The 27,113-nt window shown below is 38.8% G+C and overlaps 1 protein-coding gene across 1 annotated transcript in view; it reads left to right on the forward strand.

The window, feature by feature from the left end:
• The window catches only part of MSH4 (mutS homolog 4), a 116,361-nt gene continuing 89,479 nt past the window's right edge, over positions 232 to 27,113 (forward strand). Inside the window, exons 1-7 of the mRNA NM_002440.4 lie at positions 232 to 579; positions 7,081 to 7,263; positions 10,331 to 10,491; positions 14,047 to 14,157; positions 18,371 to 18,486; positions 19,723 to 19,896; positions 25,759 to 25,931. Of these exons, the coding sequence (NP_002431.2) occupies positions 336 to 579; positions 7,081 to 7,263; positions 10,331 to 10,491; positions 14,047 to 14,157; positions 18,371 to 18,486; positions 19,723 to 19,896; positions 25,759 to 25,931 (1,162 nt within the window). The 5' untranslated portion in view covers positions 232 to 335. The remainder of the gene's footprint in view (positions 580 to 7,080; positions 7,264 to 10,330; positions 10,492 to 14,046; positions 14,158 to 18,370; positions 18,487 to 19,722; positions 19,897 to 25,758; positions 25,932 to 27,113) is intronic.

Below are 27,113 nucleotides of genomic sequence, written 5' to 3' on the forward strand. Positions count from 1 at the left end.
GAGATTGGGTGCTGTGAGAATAATGGGGCTAACAAATCGGGTGGTCATTGATGGGCCTTGCAGAGTTCTGGTCAGTCTGATACCTGCAGGCTGAGGATGTTCCAGTGAGGTTCATGTGGAAAGTGATGGGTTTGGGAATGGCTGGAAGCAGGGTCATAGACCTGAAGTACGTGAATCCATGTGGAAAGCTGAGCCTGCCTGCGCCTGCGCAGTGCAGCTTAGTGCGTCGGCGCGCAGTTCTCCCGCCCGTTTCAGCGGCGCAGCTTCTGTAGTTGGGCTACTGGAGGGGTCGCTCAGAAACCTCATACTTCTCGGGTCAGGGAAGGTTTGGGAGGATGCTGAGGCCTGAGATCTCATCAACCTCGCCTTCTGCCCCGGCGGTTTCCCCGTCGTCGGGAGAAACCCGCTCACCTCAGGGTCCCCGCTACAATTTCGGACTCCAGGAGACTCCACAGAGCCGCCCTTCGGTCCAGGTGGTCTCTGCATCCACCTGTCCTGGCACGTCAGGAGCTGCGGGCGACCGGAGCAGCAGCAGCAGCAGCCTTCCCTGCCCCGCGCCAAACTCCCGGCCAGCTCAAGGCAAGGAGTGATTGGGTGGAGGAGTCTCCTTGAGGCTAGAGGCCGGCAGTTCATGGAGGCTCGGGGGCACGTGGGTGGTGGTTACCACAGTGAAGTTGTGATTTGGTTGGGGCGTGAGATCTGAGTGCCCTGGGAATTTGGTGAGTCTGGGTGATTAGAAGCCTTGACTTTTCAAATTGGTTCTATTGCAAGACCTTGACTGTGGATGGCTCAGTTCTGAGAAAGGCTGAAGTATCCCATATAACGTCCCTCACAGTGTCTGACAAATGACAGTTTGTGCGTGAGTTTGCTGATAGAAGTTGTGAGCTGATCTTTGGCTGCTGAATTTAATTCTCCAAATCCTGCTAAGGTGGGATAAAATAGATTAAATTGAACATTTCATCTAATTCAGGGAAAATAATATGTTTAGTATTAAAAGAGTGGGCTGGGCGGTGGCTGACGCCTGTAATCCCAGCACTTTGGGAAACCAGGGTGGGCGGATCACTTGAGGCCGGGAGTTCCACACCAGCCTGGCCAACATGGTGAACCTCCCACCCCCATCCCCTATCTCTACTAAAAGTACAAAAATTATCTGGGTGTGGTGGCACGTGACTGTGGTCCCAGCTACTCAGGAGGTTGAGGTGGGAGGATGGCGAGTCCGGGAGGTCGAGGCTGCCGTGAGCTGAGATTGCGCCACTGCATTTCAGCCTGGGTGACACAGTGAGACCCTGACTCAAAACAAACAAACAAAAAAGATGCATGTCCTTCAAATCATTTATTATTTTGTTAGTCTCTATTCATGACAAAGCATCACCATTTTTCACACACGATTGCAACACAATGGTAAAGTAACAAATACCAAATCCAATGGTCATTTTTCAGTTCATCTCATGTGACCTTTCTGCTGTATTTAATGTTCTTAATTTCTTTATTTTTAGAAACAGAGTCTCGCTATGCTGCCCATGCTGGTCTCAAACTCCTGGTCTCAAGTGCTCCTGCCTCGGTCTGCCCAAGCATTGGGATTACAGGCATGAGCCACTGCTGCCTGGCCTATGTTTAATGTTCTTGACTGGTCTTCTCTTAAACTCTTTTAATTTGGCTTCCTTGATTCCACTTGCCCCTGTTTTTCTGCTACCTCCCAGAGAATTGCTGTGCCCACCTTTGTTCCCAAATTATGGGCATGTCATTAAAGCTTTTTTTCCTAGGCCACTTCTACCTAGATGTGACTATCTCCACAGCTCAGATCTCATCTACACTCCAGACTTACTTCAGACTGTCTTCTGAAGTTTTTATTGATGGACTAATGGATACCTCAGGCTGACTATATGATTAATTAAATTCCTCTCTGCACTTTTTTTTTTTTTTTGAGACAGAGTCTTGCTCTGTTGCCCAGGCTGGAGTGCAGTGGCATGGTCATGACTCACTGCAGCCTCAAATTCCTGGGCTCAAGCGATCCTCCCACCTCAGCCTCCCGAGTAGCTGGGACCAAGGCATGTGCCCCTACAGATGGCTAATTTAAAAAATTTTTTTGTAGAGACAGTGTTTTCCTACGTTGCCCAGCCTGGTCTCGAACTTCTAGGCTCAAGCGATCCTCCTACCTCAGCCTCCCAAAATGCTGGGATTACAGGTGTGAGCCACTGCACCTAGCCCTCAAACTCTTAAGTGTTCTTCCATCCTTGTAGCTTACTTACTGTACCACCAGAGTTATGTGGAAAATGATCTTATCATGTCCCTTGCCACTTAAATCAGTAGACCTGTATCTGCAGGTAAAAGATCAAACTCTCTAGAAGGATAGCCAAAGCAATTGGGATCGGTTTCTAATCTTTACAGATTTATCCCTCATCATTTAATATTTACCCTGCTTTCTAACAAAACTGAGCTACTTGCAATTCCTTTAAAGCAACATGAATGTTCACATTGTCAGTCTAATCCCTCTCTTCATCAGATGCTTGGTCACCCACTTATTTATCAGTAATGATAACATTCACTAATTTATATGCACCTACTTTGTTCTGGCTTCTTACTAGGCAGACGGTATCTTTGATCCTCACAATAATTTTGCAGAGTAGATTTTTTTTTTGTTCCTGTTTTACAGATAGAACCAAGGCCCAAATAGGCGAACAAAGGTTCAAATTATGTTAGCAGCTGGGGATAATAATCTGTGCTCTCAATGAACTTAAGGTTCAGTAGAGAAGACAGACTTAAAAATCAACAAATACACATTTAAGAAATAACTGTATTTGAGGTATTTATAATTTTTGAGGTAGGTATAATTAAAGTATGGGGACAAAAGTGGGAAAAGACATTTCACAGAGTAAGTGCACCTTGAACTGGTCTTCAAGAATAAGTAGGAAGAAGAATGCCAGCCAAAGGGAAACAGCTGGAGCGCATTCTTGAGAAAAACACGTGCAAAGGCACAGAAGAATCATGTAAAACTGCTAATAATTTTGCTTGGCTAGAGCAGGAGAGTGATCTAGGTAGATAAACTTGAATGTAGATATAGTTGTGAGAATTAGATCTGGGAGACAAATTTAACCCAGAGACCCCCCATATTCAACACCAGGTCTCTGGTTTTGGTGACTGGATAGATGGTAGTAGTATTTTCTGATTCTGGGAATTTTGTAGGCAAAGCAAATTTTAGAGGGAAGATGATGAGCTCTGTTATGGACATGCTGAGTGTGAAAAGCCTGTGGGATATCCATATATTTATATTAAGATAATTGAATATAGGAAACTAGAGCTAAGAAGAGAGAAACTTGAGGGAAATATGGATTTGAAAGTTACCAGTATGTTGGGACCACAGCAGAGAATATGAAGACTATATAGCAAAATAGAGGTCAAGGAAGTAGGAGGAGAATTAAGACAAGTGAATGAGTTTCAAGAAAGGGTATATAGTCTAAAAGTAGTCTGAGAACAAGAAACAGCCCTCTCCATCTCCAGTTTCCGCATCTCCAGTTTCTGGCAACCACTCTCTTCCTTAGCTCCCTAAAGCCTAGAAATGCTAATGGAGCACATTTTATGCTGGTTCTACACACGTCTTTATGATAGCACCCCTACACCCTGTCCACACCTTTGTAAATATTCTCTTTATCAAATTATCCCAGTTTGAGTATATCATTGATTCCTGCTGGAACCCATATAATGAAGTTATATTTTACCCTATGGTGAGTATGGGGAGACACATAGGAATTGTAAGAAAGAGAGATACTGATCAGATTTGCTTTTCAGAAAGATTATTGGTGATGATTCGAAGAATAGATTAGAGAGGTGTAATACTGGAAGCAAGGAGAAGAAGAAGTAGGAAACTTGCACAAGGACCAAAGAAGATACAGGCTTAAAATGGGCTGGGAGGAGTAGAGAGGGATTTAAATTTTAGTGATGTTAAAAAAAAAGAATTCTAGCACTCAGTCACTGAGTGTTAGGGTTGATGAAGGAAGAATTGAGAATGTCTCCTAAGCTTATGACTTGAGTGACAAGGGACAAGCTGGTACAATTAACCATACTGGTAATAAAGAATTAATTTTGAGGGAAAGATAGAGTTCACTTTTGGACATTTAGAATGCTGGGAAGATACCTAAAGGTTTATGCCCAAGAGATAGATATAGTGACCTGGAGCTACATTGTCTGATAGAATATTCTGTGATAATAGAAACGTTTCATACTTATGCTGTCCGATGTGGTAACTAGTAGCCGTATGTGGCTTTTGAGCATTTGAAAATGTTGCTAGTGTGACTGAGGAACAGAATTTAAATTGTATTTAATTTTGATTTAGTTAAATACTCACATATGCTGCTTTATTGAACAATGCAGGTATAGAGCTGAGAACGGTTTTTGCACTTTTGAAGGATTAAAGAATCAAGAATATTTTGTGATATTAAAATTATATGAAATTTAGAATTCAATATGTAGAAATAAAGCCATTTTTAATTGAAACATAGCCATTCTCATTTATTTATGTATTATCTATGACTGCTTTTCTATGATAGTGTCAGAGCTGAGTAATTGTGACAGTGATTATATGGCCCACAAAAGCCTAAAATATTTGCCATCTGGTCCTTTATTTAAAAGTTTATGGGCTGGGCATGATGGCTCATGCCTATAATCCCAGCACTTTGGGAGGCTGAGGTGGGCAGATCACCTGAGGCCAGGAGTTCATGACCAGTCTGGCCAACATGACAAAACCCTGTCTCTATTAAAAATACAAAAAAAAAATAGCCAGGTGTGGTGGGCATGCCTATAATGCCAGCTGCTTGGGAGGCTGAGGCAGGAGGATTGCTTGAACCTGGGAGGCAGAGGCTGCAGTGAGCTGAGATTGCGCCATTGCACTCTAGCCTGGGCAACAAGAGTGAAACTCCATCTCAAAAAAAAAAAAAAAAAGTTTATGCTGAGGCATGGTGGCTTATGCTTGTAATCTCAGTGCTTTGGGAGGCTGAAGTGGGAGGATTGCTTGAGGCCAGGTGTTTGAGATCAGCCTGGGCAATGTAGCAAGACCCTGTCTCTATAAAAAAAAAATTAGCTGTGTGTGGTGAGGTGCACCTATAGTCCATAGTTACTCAAGAGGCTGAAGCAGGAGGTTACTTGAGCCCATGAGCTTGAGGCTGCAGTGAGCTGTGATCACACTACTGCACTCCAGTCTGGGCGACAAAGAGAGACCTTGTCTTTATAAGACAGTAAAATAGACTGGGCATGGTGGCTCCCGATTATAATCCCAGCATTTTGGGAGGCTGAGATGGGAAGATCACTTGAGCCCAGGAGTTTGAGACCAGCCTGGGCAACATGGCAAAACCCCATCTCTACAAAAATACAAAAAATTAGCCTGGCATGGTGGCATGAGCCTATAGTCCCAGCTACTCGGGAGGGTGAGGTAGGAGGATTGCTTGAGCCCAGGAGTTCAAGGCTGCATTTAGCCAAGATCACACCACTGAATTCCAGCCTAAGCTACAGAACGAGAGTCTCACATACAGACAAAAAGGAAAAATTAAAAGTTTAGCAACCCCTGGTTTACAGTTTAAGGAGTCGTTACAGCTATATACGAAGGCTTGAGAGTTGTCAGAAAATAGATGTTAATAGAAACAAAGAGGAGAGATGAGATGCCTGGAGATGCATAATGTTGATTTGTGAGGGAAAGCTTAAAAGTATGAAGCCCTGGAGGCCAACAGTTAAGAAGCAGAGGAAAAAGGAGATGGCAAAGGAAACTAAAAGTGGTTTAAAGAGAATTCAAGATAGAGAGTTGTGGAAATCAAAGAGAATAGGTGAACAGAGCCCAAACATTTTAAAATTTTTTTAGAACTTCTATGTGCCAAGAGGCTATGCTAGGTTGTTTATGTACATTATTTAAAAATTTTATGACAATCCTGTAAAATAGGTAATAGCTTACATCAGTAGATAAGTACCTAAATAAGGAACTGAAGCCAATTGAGTCTAAAATGCCATTTGCATAGGGGAGAGAAATTCAATGAAGAAATTAACAGAAGAAGGTTAAAAGAGGTCTAATAATTATTATACAAATGAAACATATGTCTTAGTCTGTATTCTGTTGCTTTTAAAAGAATACTTGAAACTGGGTGATTATCAAGAAAGAAAACATATTTCTTGGAAGTCTGGAGGCTGGGAAGTCCAAGGTCAAAGGAGGCACATTTAGTGAGGGTCTTTGTGCTGGTGGAGTCTCTGTAGAGTCCTGTAGTGGTACAGGGCATCACATGGAGAGGGAGCTGAGCATGGTAGCTCAGGTCTCTCATCCTCTTCTTATAAAACCACCAGTCCTACTCTCGTGATAACCCATTAACCTATTAAATCATGAATGGATTAATTCATTCATGAAGGCAGAGCCCTCATGCCCCATCACCTCTTAAAGGCCCCACCTCTGTCCTGCCACACTTCACTGGGGATTAAATTTCAATGTAAGTTTCAGAGGGGACAGATATTCATACCTTAGCAACACATCTGGTATATTTGAAGATTAAAGGGTAATTTATGATTTTAGCCAGAGTAGTTGCAGTGAACTTGTAGAGGCAAAAGCTATATTAGCATATTTTTGTATATTTATCAATAATGTCATTAATTTTGTTATAATCTGTTTATTTTCAAAAATCATTTTCACATGAAATTTTATAGAAAGTGAACATAGTGGTTGGGTGCGGTGACTCAGGCCTCTAATCCCAGCACTTTGGGAGGCCGAGGCAGGCAGATCATGAGGTCAGGAATTCGAGACCAGCCCAGCCAACATGGTGAAACCCCATCTCTACTAAAAATACAAAAATTCACCAGGCGTGGTGGCGGGTGCCTGTAATCCCAGCTACTCGGGAGGCTGAGGCAGGAGGATCACTTGAACTTGGGAGGTGGACGTTGCAGTGAGCCGAGATCATGCCACTACGCTCCAGCCTGGGCGACAAGAGCAAGACTCTGTCTCAAAAAAGAAAAAAAGAAAAAAAAGGAAAGTGAACATGGTATAAATTATAATGACTAATACATCATTGCATAATTCAAATCTTTAAGAATTGACTGTTAATTTTTCAAATTTAGGTTCATACTTTGGAAACAAAAGAGCTTATGCAGAAAACACAGTTGCATCAAATTTTACTTTTGGTGCAAGCTCATCTTCTGCACGAGATACTAATTATCCTCAAACACTTAAAACTCCATTGTCTACTGGAAATCCTCAGAGATCAGGTTATAAGAGCTGGACACCACAAGTGGGATATTCAGGTAAAATAAGTGGAAGATTAACCTAGATGATGTTTTGAAACTTAAAAGTTTTATAAATTATAAATTAGGGTTATTAAGTTCATTTGAATTTATCTATAACTGATATGAATGAAAAATAAATACATTAGTTTACCTCTATCCATAATTTGAGTCTAGATTAATAAGGCAACATAGTTTCTGAAATTGTTTGTTAATAAATGTAAGTCTACATTATTTTAACCATTCTGACAAAAAAACACACAAGAAAGAGAAACCTCTCCCTTTTATACATGATGGCATTTAAATCTAAAAGTTGACCCTGATATTACTAGTGAGTGGTTTTTTTATACTTAAATTTTAATTTTTATCTAAATCTATGAGATTTTCTTGAAGAGTAGATAGATAAAATAGGTTTTCATGTATAACAGTTTTCTAAGGTATATACAACAGAATTTCTTGGTTACAGGGTAAGTTATGTAAATGCATATATTTATAAGATAATGACAAATTATTTTTTAAAGTAGTTCTACCAAAGTATAAATGGTAGTTAAGTTTATATTAGATCTACAGAAGTCAGTTTTAGCTCTGTAGTAGAATATGACCTTCCTTTTTTTTTTTTTTTTTTTTTAATTTTTTGAGACAGAATCTCACTGTGTCGCCCAGGCTGGAATGCAGTGGTGTGATCTCGACTCACTGCAATGTCTGCTTTCCGGGTTCAAGTGATTCTTCTGCCTCAGCCTCCTGAGTAGCTGGGACTACAGGTGCTTGCTACCACGCCCGGCTAATTTTTGTATTTTTAGTAGAGATGGGGTTTCACCATACTGGCCAGGCTGGTCTCGAACTCCTGACCTCATGATCCACCCACCTTGGCTCCCAAAGTGCTGGGATTACAGGCATGAGCCACTGTGCCTGGCTGACCTTTTTATTTACTTTTATTTTTATTTTTATTTGTTTGAGATGGAGCCTTGCTCTGTCGCCCAGGCTGGAATGCAGTGGCACAACTTGGCTCACTGTAACCTCTGCCTCCTGGATTCAAGCAATTTTCCTGCCTCAGCCTCCCGAGTAGCTGAGATTACAGGCATGCACCACCACGCCTGGCTAATTTTGTATTTTTAGTAGAGACAGGGTTTTACCATATTGGCCAGGCTGGTCTTGAACTCCTAACCTCATGATCCGCCCACCTTGGCCTCCTAAAGTGCTGGGATTACAGGTGTGAGCCACCGCACCCAGCCCTGACCTGTTTATTTTTAAGTAGAAAATAAATACCAAGTTCCAGTGGAAATTCAATAGACATATAAAAGACATCTCTAAGGTTCTAAAAATACATTTATGCTGTTATCTCTCTGTTGTAAATAACATAATAATGAGCATCCTAATACATAAAGCTTTTTTCTGAGTCTCTTATTATTTCCTTAAAACACACCCTTAGAAGTCAAATTACTGAAACATAGGGAAATTACCTTTTTTATTTTTTTTAATTACCATTTTTTGTTTTTTTTTTTTTTTGGTTTTTGAGACGAAGCCTTGTTCTATTGCCCAGGCTGGAGTGCAGTGGCACCATCTCGGCTCATTGCAACATCCACTTCCTGGGTTCAAGTGATTCTCCTGCCTCGGCCTCCCGAGTAGCTGGGATTACAGGCATGCATCACCATGCTCAGCCAATTTTTTTTTTTTAGTAGAGATGGGGTTTCGCCATGTTGGCCAGGCTGGTCTCGAACTCCTGGCCACAAGTGATCCTCCCACCTTAGCCTCACAAAGTGCTAGGATTACAGTTATGAGCCACTGCGCCTGGCCAAAATTACCAGTTTTTAAGAATCTCAGATATATTGCCAAGTTTCTTTTGAGAACTGGACTAATTTTTAATTCCATCAATAGTGTATAAGGTAAGCCAATCTTACTCTATCCTCATCATTACTAACTTCTAAAATTTATTATGATTATTGGCTAATTTAGTAATCATCATCATCATCATAAGATTATTATTAAATTAGCCAATAATCATTATCATAATAAATTGTATTGGTTAATTTATTGGTTATTATGGTATGCTCTTATTAACAATGTGTAAGAGTCCACTTCAACATTTGATATTGTTAGACTCAATATTTTCCAACCTAACAGTTGTAAAATACTACCTGAGTTTTTTATTTTCTGAGTTTGCATTTTCCTGATTACTAGTGAGATTATCTTTTTCTGTACTTTTGGGCTATATATCTTTAATAATGGTCTGTGAAATTAATGTTCATGTCTTTTACTCATTTTTCTTTAGGCTTATTTTTCTGGATTTGTAGCAATACTTTATATATTCTGAGTAATAAATATTTTGATGACTTTTCTGTTTGGTTTTTTTTTTTTTTTTTTTTTTTTTTTTTTGAGAAGGAGTCTCGCTCTGTAGCCCAGGCTAGAGTGCAGTGGCGCGATCCCGGCTCACTGCAAGCTCCGCCTCCCGGGTTCACGCCATTCTCCTGCCTCAGCCTCTCGAGTAGCTGGGACCACAGGCACCTGCCACCACGCCTGGCTAATTTTTTGTATTTTTAGTAGACATGGGGTTTCACCGTGTTAGCCAGGATGGTCTCGATTTCCTGGCCTTGTGATCCGCCCACCTCGGCCTCCCAAAGTGCTGGGATTACAGGCATGAGCCACCGCGCCCGGCCTTTTCTGTTAGTTTCTATGTTTCTAGTTCTTTTTTAACTCTGATGGGTCATTATGTCTAGCTGTGTGCCAATATCACACCATCTTTAGCTTTATAATAAGTCTTGATATTTTGTAGGACAGCCTTGCCACCTGTACCCTCCACAAGCCACCTTACTCTTCTTTAGAGGAGTCTTGATTCTTCTTGGCCCTTTGCTCTTCCATGTAAATTTTGGGCCAATTTTTCAAGCTCCACCAAAAAACATATTGAGGTTTTGATTGAAATTATAGTTGTACTGAACCAATAGATCCTTTAGGGAGAATTGAAATAAGAGGCTAACTGATATCTACAGATTGCATTATTTTGTCCTCTTGATTAAGAATTTCCTAGTTTTTTTTAAAAAAAGAAATGATTATTATCAATGTTTATATCTTTTCTTTATTTAAAAATTTACAGCTTCATCCTCATCTGCGATTTCTGCACACTCCCCATCAGTTATTGTAGCTGTTGTAGAAGGGAGAGGACTTGCCAGAGGTGAAATAGGAATGGCAAGTATTGATTTAAAAAACCCCCAAATTATACTATCCCAGTTTGCAGACAACACAACATATGCAAAGGTAAGTATTAATAATTCTAGAAAATGGTTGCTCTGTTAGGCAGTATCTAGAGTTTAAAGTCAGTGCCTTCCCAATTTGTTTACTTTTTGGTAGAATAAAGGTTATTCATTATTATGTCAATGTAAATACTCTGAATTAAAATAAAACTGTGTTATATCTGATTTTTATTTTTTAAATATATTTTGTCCAAAAAGAGTGTGTTTTACTGTTATTTAAATAAGCTATTGTTAGTATTAGTTTCTAAAATTAACATCTTCAAATTAATAATTTCTGGATTTATTCCAAAGGTAATATATGTGATAATGTGGTACTGATCATAATCCTTAAAGACACAATCCCAAATGCCATAATCCCGATGTTCAAATCTTGAAAGATCAAAATCCTTAATGTTGAAATCCTGAAAGCTTAATTCTAGGGAAGGGATTAATGCGTTTTTGGTTGTACACAAGATAGTTGCATCATGTTAGATGCATCATATTAGGCAATACTACTACCTTATTATTTTATTTGGAAATTAGGTATGGTTTAAGGAGATGCATAGGGGTGCCAAATTGGCAAGGGATAGACTTGTGGATTTAAGTATAGGTGACAACTTGACTGTATTAAAAAAATACCTAGTAAAGCATTATTTGGGCTGTGTCTGTGAGGTTGCTTCCAGAGGAGATGAGTGGGTGAGTCTGAGTGGACTAGGCGGTGAAAATCTGCCCTTAGTGTTGGTGGGCACCTTGCAGTTGACCAGGGCCCAGAGAGAGCAAATACAGAAATTGCATTTGTCTCTCTCTAAGAGCTGGGACAGACTCTTCTGCTGCTGCCTTGGACATCAGAAATTTGACTCCACAGAAGTTCGTTATCACAACATTGACTGTGTGTAAGCATTGTGCATATACATTAAAATGTTGAAATTTTTTTGATAAATGAAGACATGTCCTTTTTGTACATCATTTATTTGTGAAAGATAAAATTTATTTCTTGAAATCTTAGCTCTTCAGGCAACTGTGTATGTGGTGACCCATAGAAGTTTTTGATCTATCTCATCAAAAGACTTAGGTTGTCCCTGGTGGTATTTCAGATGACCATATTTATGAAGCTTGGTGCAGACAATTACCAACCATAGTGATATGCATTTATACATTTTGCTTTTTGACTAATTTCTAATTTTTGACTAATTTTTTTGTGAATACAATTTGTCTGCTCATAACTGTTATTATACCTGTGTGACTGTCATTAGTACACTTAAGTGTTCATGCTTGCAAAAAAGTTATTATTGCCTATTTTATTGTGTAAAGTGGCCTATGAAGTGTACTGTTCTGTTTTTATATGTTTCTCAAATAAATCCCCTTTTAAAAATGCAAATCAATGTCTTAAAATTGTTTTTGAAGTTATTTCTTCCAGAACTGTGTTTTTGGGATTTTGGTCTTTTGGTATTGGGGTTCTGGGGATTTTTAGACTTTAAGGATTTTGCTCTTTTGGGATTTTGACATTCAGGATTATGGCATTTGAGATTGTGTCTTTCAGGATTATGGCCCAAACCCATGATAATGCTAACTCCAGAGAGTTATTTCTACTGAACTGTATTTGAATTTTATTTTTTCAGAGGTAAAGAAAACTAGTATCTTAGATCAGTCAGAATTTAGCCTCTTAATTTCTTGCCTTCACTTCTTATTTTGCCTTCATTTTATATCACTCATCATTCATTTGGGCCACTCGCCTATTGTCATGGGAATTTGCATGATCTATCAGGTAGAGATAGTTTACTCCTAATTTCTATGTTATTTAACTCAATTATTATTTTATTTTATTTTTAAAAGGTCTTGCTCTTTTGCCTAGGCTGAAGTGCAGTAGCATGATCGTGACTCACTGCAGCCTCCCACCTCAGCCTCTTGAGTAGCAGGGACCACAGGCATGCACCACCACATAGAGCTGATTTTTAAATTTTTTTTGTATAGATGGGGTCTTGCTCTGTTACCCAAGCTAGTCTCAAATTCCTTAGACTCGAGTGATCCTGCCCCCTCAGAAGTTGAATTGCCCCTCGGGTTCCCAAAGTGCTAGAATTATAGGCATGAGCCATCGAGCCTAGTTAATTATTATTTTGAAGATGTGATCTAGTGTTTTATTTCAAGTGTTTCATTATTTTTTAATTCTCTTCCTTTAGTCCCTCTTTATGGTCCTCCAGTGTGTAGACTTCCCTTTCCTAATAATTAATTTTTTATTATACCTAACAACCTTAATGATACTAGTATTGCATACTAACTTCATCTGTAGGTATTTTATACATTTTTACAATTTCAAAAGAGTAGGAAAAAAGTTTTTAAAAAAAAGGAATGTTAGACAAATTGAGAATTTCTGTGTTTGGAATAGTTCTAAGAAATACACCTTATTTTATGAAAAGCTAAGCCATAAGGCAGATGTTTCTCATCTGTGTTTATGTACTTTTCAACAGTTAATCTGTACCAGTGTGGCCATACTGATTGTATTGCCATAGTTACCCTTTTTTTTTTTTTTTTTTTTTGAGACAATGTCTCACTTTGTTGCCCAGGTTGCCAGGTTGGAGTGCAGTGGCACAATCTTGACTCACTGCGACCTCTGCCTTCCGGGTTCAAGCAATTCTCCTGCCTCAGCCTGCCTCAGCCTCCCAAGTAGCTGGGATTACATGTGCACACCACCAAGCCTGGCTAATTTTTGTATTTTTAGTAGAGACAGGGTTTCACCATGTTGGCCAAGCTGGTTGTGAACTCCTGACCTCAAGTGATGCAGTCGCCTTGGCCTCCCAAAGTGCTGAGATTACAGGCGTGAGCCACCTCCCCTGGCCCATAGTTACCCTTATTGGATGTATTTACATTTTTCACAGAGTATTTGGATAAAATACTAAGTATAAGAATTTATTTAAAAACAATTTTATTTTGGGAATATATATTTGATAAGTTCAAATTAATTTTTGAACTTAAGGCTGTTAGAAACTATTGTGAGTAAAATATAGCCTATTTTATGACAGTATTTTATGTTAGTAGTTATATAGGAGATATATGTTCAATATACTACCATTAGAAATATATATACATATATATTTTATTGTTATTGGTGGTGGTGGTGTTTGTTTGTCTGTTTTTGAGACAGATTTTCCCTCTGCCACCTAGACTGGCGTGCAAAGGTGCCTGGTGTGATCTCAGCTCACTGCAACCTTTGCCCCCTGGGCTCAAACTATTCTCATGCCTCAGCCTCCTGAGTAGCTGGGATTACAGGCATGCACCACCATGCTCGGGTAATTTTTGTATTTTTTTTTTTTTTTTTTTTTTAGTAGAGACAGGGTTTCACCATGTTGGCCAGGTGGGTCTCGAACTCCTGGCCTCAAGTGATCTGCCCACCTCAGCCTCCCAAAGTGCTGGGATTACAGGTGTGAACCCACCTGGCTAGAAACATATTTTAATTGAAATATATCATTAGGACAGTTATAATTTTGTGTATCTATGAATTAATTTTAAATACTTATCTCAGAAAAATATGAAACTTTTATTTCCTAAGCTTTATTTAAGAAATTGTTTATTCAAATGATTTCAGGTGATCACTAAACTTAAAATTTTATCACCTTTGGAAATAATAATGTCAAATACTGCTTGTGCTGTGGGGAATTCCACCAAGTTGTTCACTCTGATCACAGAAAATTTCAAGGTAAGTGATGTTTACTGTTTGTAACATTCAAGATCTAATCACTTATTTATTTATTTGTTATTTATTATTTATTTATTTTTTTGAGACAGAGTTTCACTCTGTCACCCAGGCTGGAGTGAAAGGGCGTGATCTCGGCTTACTGCAACCTCCAGCTCCCGAGTTCGAGTGATTCTCCTGCCTCAGCCTCCCAAGTAGCTGGGACTACAGGCGTGTGTTACCACACCCAGCTAATTTTTGTATTTTTAGTAGAAATGGGGTTTCACCATGTTGGCCAGGCTAGTTTCAAACTCCTGACCTCAAGTGATCGATCTGCCTTGGCCTCCCAAAGTGCTGGGATTACAGGCATGAGTGAGTCACTGTGCCCGGCCCTAATCACTTTATTTAAAATTTACTTAATAATATCATTATAAAGAACAATAATTTTAGTAACTTTATATTTAGTGTCCTAAAGTAGTCACTAAATACAAATCCTAATCTAAGGGACTGTTAATACAGATAATAAAAATGATAGGGAATTTACTTATTTGATTTGGCACCCTGATCTACTTTAAACAAAAGAAAACATGTTTTAGGTAATAAGGAAGTTTCTCAGATATACAAGGGGCAGACCCATAGAGAAAGCATAAGTTTCCCTTACATGTATTTTCCTGGAAACTACTTATTGTGCTGTCAGACTGGTTGAAATTGAAGTTCTTAGGGGATAGCAGCTATCAGCAAGTACCTTTTTCTATAGGGAATTTAATTTGTATTACAGAATTGTTTCAGCTTCCCCTGATAACATGTACTGCCTTCCAGTTAGCCTGCTACTCTAGTGTCTATCTGTAGGACTGTAGTGGGTAAGCACTGTGGAACCTTATCCAACAAGAATGGGGGCTGTGGCTCCAAACCAAGTAGACAGCATTGCAGTTGGAATAATTCCTTAGGAATGCAAATTATTTTCAGAATATACTATATTTTGTTATGTTTTTAGACTTATCTTTTACTTTAACACATTTGGAACCAAGCTGAGGTTTGGAGTCCAATGAGTTCCTTTCCTGTTCCTAATATATTCAGCATCTGCAGTCATATAAGATTTGTCATGGTGCTCTTGGATTTCCTGTATAGATGAGCTGCCTTTGACTCATTGCCAGAGATAGTCCCTATTCTAAATCTATTGTCTCTATTAGACGAATCACTTTATCTGTTCTTTTTCATTTATAACTTTATACTTCTTTTCATTATGCCTATTTATCCATACCTTTCCAACTTTCATGTTTTGTTGTTGTTGTTGTTGTTGTGATTAGGCCTTATAATTCTTTTGGTTATAAATAAGAGAAATCTAATGTAAACTACCTTATGCAAAAAAGGAAATGTATTGGCTTATGTAACTGGGAAGTCAATGGTTGAATAGATCCTGTTCCTACTGTCAAAGGTAAACAAAGCCAAACACTAGCTAAATATTTTAATCAGTAATATGCTGTTGCAACAGAGAAAAGAGTCCAGTGTGGACTGAATTGAACTTCGGTTTATACTGGGCATTTTAATGGGAGACTAAGGGAATAAGGAGGAGTAAGCACAAGCTCAGTAGAGTCAGGGAAGTGAAAAATTATTATAACAAAAAGTAAGACCAGGTGCGGTGGCTCATGCCTGTAATCCCAGCACTTTCAGAGGCCGAGGAGGGTGGATCACAAGGTCAGGAGATCGAGACCATCCTGGCTAACATGGTGAAACCCCATCTCTACTAAAAATACAAAAAAATTAGCCAGGCCTGGTGGCACGCGCCTGTAGTCCCAGCTACTCGGGAAGCTGAGGCAGGAGAATCGCTTGAACCTGGGAGGCAGAGGTTGCAGCGAGCCGAGATTGTGCCATTGCACTGCAGCCTGGGCAACAGAGCAAGACTCCATCTCAAAAGAACAACAACAAAAAATCTGGGTTTGCTAACTGGCACTTACCAAAGTTAGGCTCCTATTCTCCCACAGAGGATAGGAGACAGGGACCCTATTTTTAGGTGTTAAGTGGAATAAACAGTAAATTTTTTTTGGCAGCCTGAGTTTTCTTAGGCTGGCACTTTATGAGAGGCTAAGGTCATCCTAGGGATGTGGCTTTGAGCAGTTAGAAACAATGTTAGTGTTTCGTTCAAGTCTTTATAGGCCAGTTGGAGGCTTAGTTGAGAAGAAGGCTTATAGTAGCCCAGGTAGAGTTTGGTCAAAGAGAGCATCTTTATCACTACTCTCATTCCCCATATCATCCTTTTTCTACTGCAGATAGTTTACTTCTATGAGATTTAAGAAGATGATTGCTAATGGCTCAAGGCTGATGTCATCTCAGCTTAGCTAACCCAGAGGGAAAATAATTTCTTTATTCCAGTGTCCATGTATGAATTCCAGGGAAGGATGCTGACTGATTCCGCTTTGTTCAGTTTCTCACACGTTAGAGTAATCACTATTTCTGGGGGTAGATACACTATAATTGACTAATCCTTTTGCTGTGAGACACAGAATACTATGATAGCTAGGCCTTCCAGAATCACATGGAATGGGGGATAAGTCCTCCAAAGGCAAAAACAACATAATTTCAGTGCATTTGAATAGTAAGGCAGTATAGCATAGTGCTTAAGAATAGAGAAGTCAGATTGTCCCGGTTTCAGATCTTGACTCTACGTGACCTACTGCAAGACACTTAACTTCTTGGAGCTTCAGTTTTTTTCATCAGTAAATTAGGGACAATAGGAGATACCAACCTCCTAGAAAATTGATATTTTATATAGGGTAATCAGAGATGGCCTCATTGATAAGGTTACATTTGGGCAAAGTTCTGAATGGAGTGAGGGAGCAAGCCATGGAGGTATTTGAGGTAAAAGTATTCTAAGCAGAGGGAAAATTCGATATTTTTATTATCATTATTACTATTATGACTACACTTACCATAAGAAGACCTTCATTAGCCAGGTGTAGTGACATGTGCCTGTAGTCCCAGGTACTTGGGAGGCCAGGGTGGGAGGATCACTTGAGCCCAGTAGTTCAAATCTAGCTTGGGCAACATAGTGAGACCCCTCTCTTAAGAAAAAAAAACAGACCTGCATTAAATCAAAAGCAATATGAAGTATAAGGAAAATGGACTTCAAAGAAATCTAAATTTGAGTCTCAGCTTTGGCACAGATCAACTGTATAATATCAGAAAAGTTACTTGACTTTTCAGAATTTTATTTATATGAAAACCGGAGTTAATAAGATATGTCCCTACTTGGTCATGATATTTTTTCATTCTTAACAGCGCTTACATAGTCTATTGATATAATATTACCTTTTCTTAACCATCAGTTTTATTCAAAGGAGGTAAACCTTTTACTTAACAACTTGATGCTTTTTAAAAGTTCCATTATCAACCGGGTGCTGATGTCTCACACTGGTAATTCCAGCACTTTGGGAGGCCAATGTGGGAGAATCACTTGAGCCCAGGAGTTTGACACCAGCCTGGGCAGCATAGTGAGAACTTATCTCTGCTCAAAAAAAAAAAAAAAAAAAAAAAATTAGCCAGATGTAATGGTGTGTGCCTGTAGTCCCAGCTACTCAGGAGGATGAAGCAAGCAGATTGCTTGTACCCTGGAGTTCAAATTTGTAGTGAGCTATGATCATGCCGCTGTATTCCAGCCTGGGCAACAGAGTGAGACCCTGTCTCAAAAAGATTATAATTTTCTCTTTGTTCTAAATAAATTCAATTCACTTTATGTAAATAGTATATCATAGATAGGTAGAATTGGTGTTTTCATCTTTTCACCTGGGGCATTATAAGAATCTACCCTTTCTCAATTATGATAGACTATGGAAAGATGAATATAAAACTGTGAAAGGTTATTTCTATACAAAAGATTACTAAAAGGCATAGATTTTAGTACAATCTATACAAAAGATTACTAAAAGGCAAAAGATTACTAAAAGGCAAAGATTACTAAAGGCAATAAAAAATAAACTGTCATGTTTATTTTTTATTATTGTATCTAACATATTCCATTAAATCTCATAAGAGTAAGGTCTAATAAGAGATACAAACTACTATAATTCACTTAGCAAGAATAATCATTCTTTTTATAGAAATAACTAAGAAAAGTTCTTATTTAAATGTTGAAATTTTTATACAATATTTAAGCCACTTACCTAGCATGTGTTTAAGAAAGCAGTTTTGGGCAAGCGCATGGCACTTCAAACTTTATTTTGAAATTAAAACTTCTTTTCAGAATGTTAATTTCACTACTATCCAAAGGAAATACTTCAATGAAACAAAAGGATTAGAGTACATTGAACAGTTATGCATAGCAGAATTCAGCACTGTCCTAATGGAGGTTCAGTCCAAGTAAGTTATATATTTATTTATTTTTTTACTAGCCCACAGCTACCAATATCATATCAAGTAAGTTATAACTTAAGGAAAGTAAATAAATCTCCAGTGTGAGTTCCACAAGGGCAGGGACTTTTGTCTGTTTTGTTCTCTGCTGCATTCCTACCACCTGGAAAATTACCTGGTTCATAATACATAGTAATTATTGAAATAGTGAAATAGTTGACTAAAATTTATACACAAGGCATATATTGCTAACTTAATTTATATAGAATTTCTCCAAATTAGTCATAAGCTATTGACCTAATGGTTGCTACTCACTTTACTTTGGAGTGAAAAGCTCAAGTAGCTACAGTAAACTGGAAATGTGAGGGCATAGGAGTAAAACACAGGTAAAGCTGTGTTCCTGTTTCTTTCTGTCTTTACTCCTAACAGATTCAGCATGAGACAGAGAATGGTATTTTTGGAACACATATTTCCTAGAACATACGAAATAGATACTTTCTTTGAGTCAGGTTGGATTACCTGTTTACTCAGTTAATAACAATCATTATTCTCACTGAGATCATAACATACTTCTCTGTACATTGAGATCTGATTCTACCGTTAAAGTACCGGATTTTTCCAGGCTGGGCACAGTGACTCATGCCTGAAATCCCAGCACTTCGGGAGGCCAAGGAGTTTGAGACCAGCCTCAGCAACATGGCAAAACCCCATCTCTACCAAAAATACAAAAATTACCTGGGTGTGGTGGTGCATGACTGTCATCCTAGCTACTTGGGAGGCTGAGGCAGGAGTATTGCTTGAGCCTGGGAGGTGGAGGTTGCAGTGAGCCGAGATCACACCACTGTACCCCAGCCTGGTTGACAGAGCTAGACCCTGTCTCAAAATAAATAAATAAATAAAGTATCAGACTTTCCTAACATTATTTGAATACTTAGAATGGTACATCAAAAATTGATGCAAATTACCTTTGATTGAATGTTACCTCCTAACACAGGATTTATCGGAATTTAAAGTCCCTTAAGTGTCAGACTTGAACTTGAAATTAATACTTGAAATTATTTATTTTCATTCATTTTTATGATTTAGAGGTTATTTACCTAGTTTTCAAAAATATGAAATACCTGGTGTACCTTTTCCTTTTGAGTTTAAGCAATGCTATGCAAATATTTATAATTTTTCTTAAGGGGAAATAGATAATTTTTTATATTAAAGACTTATAGTGATGTATTATTGGTCATCTTTTAGGTATTACTGCCTTGCAGCTGTTGCAGCTTTGTTAAAATATGTTGAATTTATTCAAAATTCAGTTTATGCACCAAAATCACTGAAGATTTGTTTCCAGGGTAGTGAACAGACAGCCATGATAGATTCATCATCAGCCCAAAACCTTGAATTGTTAATTAATAATCAAGACTATAGGTAAGATCATCCATTTTATTTGTATAAAATATATCGGTATATATATATTTTTCTATTAATGGTAACTTTAAAGTTCTTTTTTTCTTTTTTAAATTTTGAGATGGAGTTTTGCTCTTGTTGCCCAGGCTGGAGTGCAGTGGTGCGATCTCAGCTCACTGCAACCTCTGCCTTCCAGGTTCAAGCAATTCTTCTGTCTCAGCCTCCCAAGTAGTTGGGACTACAGGCATGTGCCACCATGCCTAGCTAATTTTTCTATTTTTAATAGAGACAGGGTTTCACCATATTGGCCAGGCTGGTCTCAAATTCTGGATCTCAAATTATCCACCTGCCTCAGCCTCCCAAAGTGCTGGGATTACAGCCGTGAGCTACTGCTCTCAGCCTAAACTTCTTTGAATTATTTGATGGAGAATTTTATTTAAGAGGTAGGTTCTTGCTATTTTGTCCAGGCTGGTCTCAAACTCCTGGGCTCAAATGATTGTCCTGCCTCAGCCTCCAAGTAGCTGAAACTATGGGCACAAACTGCCATGCCCAGCTAATGGTGGAGAAATATTAAGTAAGCATGTTTTAAATCATTGTACTGTTTTTGCTGAACTGGTCAGATGTTTCACCAAAATCAAGTTTTAAAAAGATATTTGTACTAAATAACAAAAAACAACCCAGTTCAGAACTGGGTAAAGGAACTTAATAGACATTTTCACAAAGAAGGTAAACAAATGGCCAGTAAGTACCAGAAAAGATGCTCAACTTTACTAGTCATTAGGGAACTACAAATCAAAACCGCAGTTAGATACCACTTCACATCCATTAGGTTATAGGTTAAAATTACTCTGTCTTTGACTTTCTATGATATCCTATGTTATCATGGCATAGAAAGTCAATGACCAAGCCTGGTAGTTATTACAAAGTGTTTTATATTCAGTTTTACCTTGTCATGTTTCACACTTTATCATTGTCAAACATTGTTTGACTTCCTGCTATATATTAGGGATACAGATACTTAAATGATAGAATATCTGATCTCCAGGAGTTAGTATTATAGTTGAAAGGAACAATTGAAAAGTCTTTTCACAGACTTAAATGAAAGAATCCTCAGGTTAAAAGATGGATATTCTACGTACTGAACTATCTGAATAGCTCCAATGCTTCCATAGGCTTGCTGCCTGTTCAGTGCAGTATTACATCCATTGATTTCTATAACAAATGGGAGGTTTATGTGTGCCCCTTACCTCCTTTTAGAAATAAGTTCTCAAAAAAAAAAAATGTACATGTGATGGGAGACACCCCCCCTCCCCCTAGCCAGTTGATATGAGTAGTTCCCTACAAATTAGTTTAAATGGGTATGACAGAAATCTGGTAGAATGATGACTAAATCTTAAAAGTCATTCTTGTTTCCTCTCCTTTCACACCTCAGATTTGATCCATCAGAAAATCCTCTTGATCTAGCCTTCAGAGTATATACCAGTTCTGGATCACTTGTCACCATTTCCAAGGCTACTACCCTAACCCAAACCTCTATCATCTTTAGCATAGACTACTATAATAGCCTCCTAGCTTTTCTTTCTGCCCTCTTCTTACCTTCCTATAGTTTATTCTCAACATATTAATAGTAGTCATACTGTGATATCCTTTTAATCCAGAAATCAGATCTTGTAACTCTTCTGCTGAAAACCTTCCAGTGGCTCTCCTTACATTTACAATAGAATCCAGACTCTTTGGCCTATAAGGACTTCTATGTCCTGGCCTCTATCAACTTCTTCATTCATCTCTCTCTATTCTTACCCCCACTTGCAAAGCTCCACTAACCTTGATCTTCTTTTTTGTTCTGGAGCCAGACTTCCTGGGCTTAAATTGCTGCTATGCTACTTACTTGGAAATCTTGGACAAGTTACCTAATTTCCTTGTTCTTAAGTTACTTCTGTTGTAAAATGATGTGGCCAATAATAGTGCCTATCTCATAACATGGTTATTAGAATTAAACAAGTTAATACTTTTAAAATGCTTAGAACAATTGTGGGTACATACTAAGTATCATTTTATGTTAGCTGTCCTCATTATTGTTGTCATGATTCCCATCCCATCGTCATCTTTGCATTGCTGCCTTCTTTTTTAATCATTCAGTTCTCAACTCTACTATCAAATTCATAGGGAAGTCTTTCTTAATCAACCTAACTAAAGCAACCACCCTGGTCCTTCTCTGTATATTCCGTTTTTTTTGTTTGTTTGTTTTTTGTTTTGAGATGGAGTCTCACTCTGTTGACCAGGCTGGAGTGCAGTGGTGCAATCTTGGCTCACTGCAAGCTCTGCCTCCAGGGTTCACGCCATTCTCCTGCCTCAGCCTCCCAAGTAGCTGGGACTACAGGCACCCACCACCATGCCCAGCTAATTTTTTTTTTGTATTTTTAGTAGGGACGGGGTCTCACTGTGTTAGCCAGGACGGTCTCGATCTCCTGACCTCATGATCCACCCGCCTCGGCCTCCTAAAGTGCTGGGATTACGGGTGTAAGCCACCGTGCCCGGCCTGTTTTTGTTTTTTTTAGCTGTTTCTGTACCTAAAATTATTTTCTTGATATGATTATGTGTTTATTGTTTTTATTGTTTATTTCCCCTCGCTCTTTGTCTTGTCTTCAGTCACGGCCAGTAAACTGACAAAAGTTATTGTCAATGGCTAAGTGCGGTGGCTCATGCCTGTAATCCCAGCACCCTGGGCAGGCCAACGTGGGTGGATCACTTGAGGCCAGGAGTTTGAGACCAGCCTGGTCGCCATGGTGAAACCCTGTCTTTACCAAAAATACAAAATTTAGCCAGCATAGTGGCACACCTGTAATCCCAGCTACTCAGGAGGCTGAGGCATGAGAATCACTTGAACCCTGGAGGCAGAGGTAGCAGTGAGCCTAGATAGTGCTGCTGTACTCCAGCCTGCGCAACAGAGCAAGACTCTGTCTAAATAAATAAATAAATAAAAAGTTATTGGCAATCGCCATTAGGCTGTAAGGTCTGTGAAGACAGGAATCATGTCCGTCTTATATGCCCAGTGTTTAGCATAGAGTTTTGAATACCATAAGGGCTCAAAAAGTATTTGTTAAATATTAAAATGAATCAGATTTTTTACATGTATTATATGAAGTTGTCTAATAAATAGTCCAACTAAATGAATTTTTTTGTTTCTTTGTTTTTGTTTGTTTTAGACAGAGTCTCACTTTGTAGCCCAGGCTGGAGTGCAGTGGCGCAATCTCGGCTCACTGCAACCTCCGCCTCCCGGGTTCAAGTGATTCTTATGGCTCAGCCTCCTGAGAAGCTGGGATTACAGGTGCCTGCCACTATACCTGGCTAATTTTTGTATTTTTTTTTCAGTAGAGATGGGGTTTCACCATGTTGGCCAGGCTGGTCTTGAACTCCTAACCTCAAGTGATCCACCTGCCTCTGCCTCCCAAAGTGCTGGGAATACAGGCATGCGCCACCTTGACTGACCAGCATTCTTTAGAATAGCTCATTTCTTTATAAATCACCTAGGAATTATGAAATTGTCTTGTACTTGTCATCAGAACAAGATCATTATAGTAAATATTTATTTTAACAATATAAAAGCCCCTCCACCCTTAAGGATATATTATTAATATCTTGCTATTATGGATGGAATAAATAGACTAGAAAACTTTATATTAGTGTGAATATTGTAACTGATCTATAAAAGAAGTCATAAAGTGCAAGGAGATTCTATTCATCCTTGTTAAAGTGTAGTTCATTGACCAATAGCATATATGGGAGCTTGTTCAAAATATATCCTCATAAAATGAGTTAGGGAGGATTCCCTCTTTTTCTGTTGATTGGAATAGTTTCAGAAGGAATGGTACCAGCTCCTCCTTGTATCTCTGGTAGAATTTGGCTGTGAATCCATCTGGTCCTGGACATTTTTTGGTTGGTAAGCTATTAATTATTGCCTCAATTTCAGAGCCTGTTATTGGTCTATTCAGAGATTCAACTTCTTCCTGGTTTAGTCTTGGGAGGGTGTATGTCTCCAGGAATTTATCCATTTCTTCTAGATTTTCTAGTTTATTTGCATAGAGGTGTTTATAGTATTCTCTGATGGTAGTTTGTATTTCTGTGGGATCAGTGGTGATATCCCCTTTATCATTTTTTATTGCATCTATTTGATTCTTCTCTCTTTTCTTCTTTATTAGTCTTGCTAGTGGTCTATCAATTTTGTTTATCTTTTCAAAAAACCAGCTCCTGGATTCACAACAAAGATCAAAAGAGACAAAGAAGGCCATTACATAATGGTAAAGGGATCAATTCAACAAGAAGAGCTAACTATCCTAAATATATATGCACCCAATACAGGAGCACCCAGATTCATAAAGCAAGTACTTAGAGACCTACAAAGAGACTTAGACTCCCACACAATAATAATGGGAGACTTTAACACCCCACTGTCAACATTAGACAGATCAACGAGACAGAAAGTTAACAAGGATATCCAGGAACTGAACTCAGCTCTGCACCAAGCGGACGTAATAGACATCTACAGAACTCTCCACCCCAAATCAACAGAATATACATTCTTTTCAGCACCACACCACACCTATTCCAAAATTGACCACATAGCTGGAAGTAAAGCACTCCTCAGCAAATGTAAAAGAACAGAAATTATAACAAACTGTCTCTCAGACCACAGTGCAATCAAACTGGAACTCAGGATTAAGAAACTCACTCAAAACCGCTCAACTACATAGAAACTGAACAACCTGCTCCTGAATGACTACTGGGTACATAACGAAATGAAGGCAGAAATAAAGATGTTCTTTGAAACCAACGAGAACAAAGACACAACATACCAGAATCTCTGGGACACATTCAAAGCAGTGTGTAGAGGGAAATTTATAGCACTAAATGCCCACAAGAGAAAGCAGGAAAGATCTAAAATTGACACCCTAACATCACAATTAAAAGAACTAGAGAAGCAAGAGCAAACACATTCAAAAGCTAGCGGAATGCAAAAAATAACTAAGATCAGAGCAGAAATGAAGGAAATAGAGACACAAAAATCCCTTCAAAAAATCAAAATATATCTAAAAACTTTTTTTGCGACAAGATCTCACTCTGTCTCCACACTGGAATACAGTGGTGCAAGTATGGTTCACTGCAGCCTTGACCTCCTGGGCTCAAGCAATCCTCCCATCTCAGCCTCCTGACTAACTGGGACTAAAGGCCTGTGCCACCCTGTCCAGTTAATTTTTAGTTTTTTGTAGACTCGGGGTCTCACTATGTTGTCCATGCTGGTCTTGAACTCCCGAGTTCAAGTATTCCTCCTGCCTTGGCCTCCCAGAGTGTTGTTGAGATTATAGGTGTGAGCAACCGTGCGTGGCCCAAAATGTAGAACCTCATGCTTTTTATTAGACCTACTGAATTAGAAATTTATGTAATTGTATGCACAGTAAAGTTTAAGAATCATTGCTGGCCAGGCGCGGTGGCTCACGCCTGTAATCCCAGCACTTTGGGAGGCCAAGGCAGGCGGATCACAAGGTCAGGAGATGGAGACCATCCTGGCTAACAAGGTGAAACCCCGTCTCTACTAAAAATACAAAAATACAAAAAATTAGCTGGGCGTGGTGGCGGGCGCCTGTAGTCCCAGCTACTCAGGAAGCTGAGGCAGGAGAATGGCGTGAACCTTGGAGGCGGAGCTTACAGTGAGCCGAGATCGCGCCACTGTACTCCATACTGGGAGAGAGAGCGAGACTCTGTTTCAAAAAAAAAAAAAAAAAAGAATCATTGCTGTAGATTATAGGATTATTTAATTACAAAGTGAAATGAAATTTTCTTGCGTTTTTCTTTGTATTCTTACTGACATTTCTTGTGTTTTGAAAGGAATAATCACACTCTCTTTGGTGTTCTAAATTATACTAAGACTCCTGGAGGGAGTAGACGACTTCGTTCTAATATATTAGAGCCTCTAGTTGATATTGAAACCATTAACATGAGATTAGATTGTGTTCAAGAACTACTTCAAGATGAGGAACTATTTTTTGGACTTCAATCAGGTAAATCAATATTATTTAATATTATAAATACAAATTATTGAAAAATACAGTTGGCTTAGTTATTTTTCCATGTTTCTGAAAGACAAGTAGTGAAGGTGTTAATTCTTGTATTCTTTTATGGAAAATATTTTCCTGAAATTTTCTACTGAGTCCTGTAGTAAATAATTTCAGGGGTACATTATGTAATGTATTTTGATTTCCTGTATGCTTTTCTTTTCCATTTTTTTCTGTTTTTTTTTGTTGTTGTTTTTGTTGTTGTTGTTCATAGATACTTTACATTCTTTTTCTCCATGGTAATCCTCAAAGATGGGAAGATTTGTTCAGACTACGTAATTATCAACGGATAGGATATATTAGTTTCCTAGGCTGCTCTAAAAACTAGTACCTACTCCATGGTTTAAAACAACAGAAAGTTTTTGTCTTACAGTTCTGGAAGCTAGAAACTTAAAATAAGGTGTCAGAAAAGCCATGCTCCCTCTGAAACCTATAGGGGAGAATCCTTTGCCCCTTTCTAGCTTTTGGTGGTCGCTGTCAGTCCATGATGGGCCTTGGCTCACAGGTTTGTCATTGCAATCTCTGCTTCTATTGTCATATGGTTTTCTCCCTGCGTGTCTTCACATTGTCGTCTTATAAAGACACTAGTCGTATTGTATTAAGACCTACCTTAATAACCTCACATTAGCTTGATTACATTTGCAAAGATGCAATTTCCAAATAAGGTCACACTAACAGATACCCGGAGTTAAGACTTCACAGTATCATTTGGGGGTCACAATTCAACCCATAACATGGGATAAGAAAATTGCCCTTGCCTCAGGGTCTGTTTCTGGAGAACTCACCCTAACACAGTCACCAACAGGCATATTGCTAATTTTTTTTTTCTTTACTTTAAATTCTGGAATACATGTGCTGAAATGTGCTGAACATGCAGGTTTGTCACATAGGTATACATGTGCCATGGTAGTTTGCTGCACCTATCAACCCATCATCTAGGTTTTAAGCCTTGCATGCATTGGGGATTTGTCCTAATGCTCTCCCTCCCCTTTCCCTCCACCCACTGACAGGCCCCAGTGTGTGATGTTCCCCTCCCTGTGCCCATGTGTTCTCATTGTTCAACTCCCACTTATGAGTGAAAACATGCAGTGTTTGGTTTTCTGTTCCTGCATTAGTTTGCTGAGGATG

This window comes from Homo sapiens, chromosome 1, assembly GCF_000001405.40.
Source record: "Homo sapiens chromosome 1, GRCh38.p14 Primary Assembly".
Classification (NCBI taxonomy): domain Eukaryota; kingdom Metazoa; phylum Chordata; class Mammalia; order Primates; family Hominidae; genus Homo; species Homo sapiens.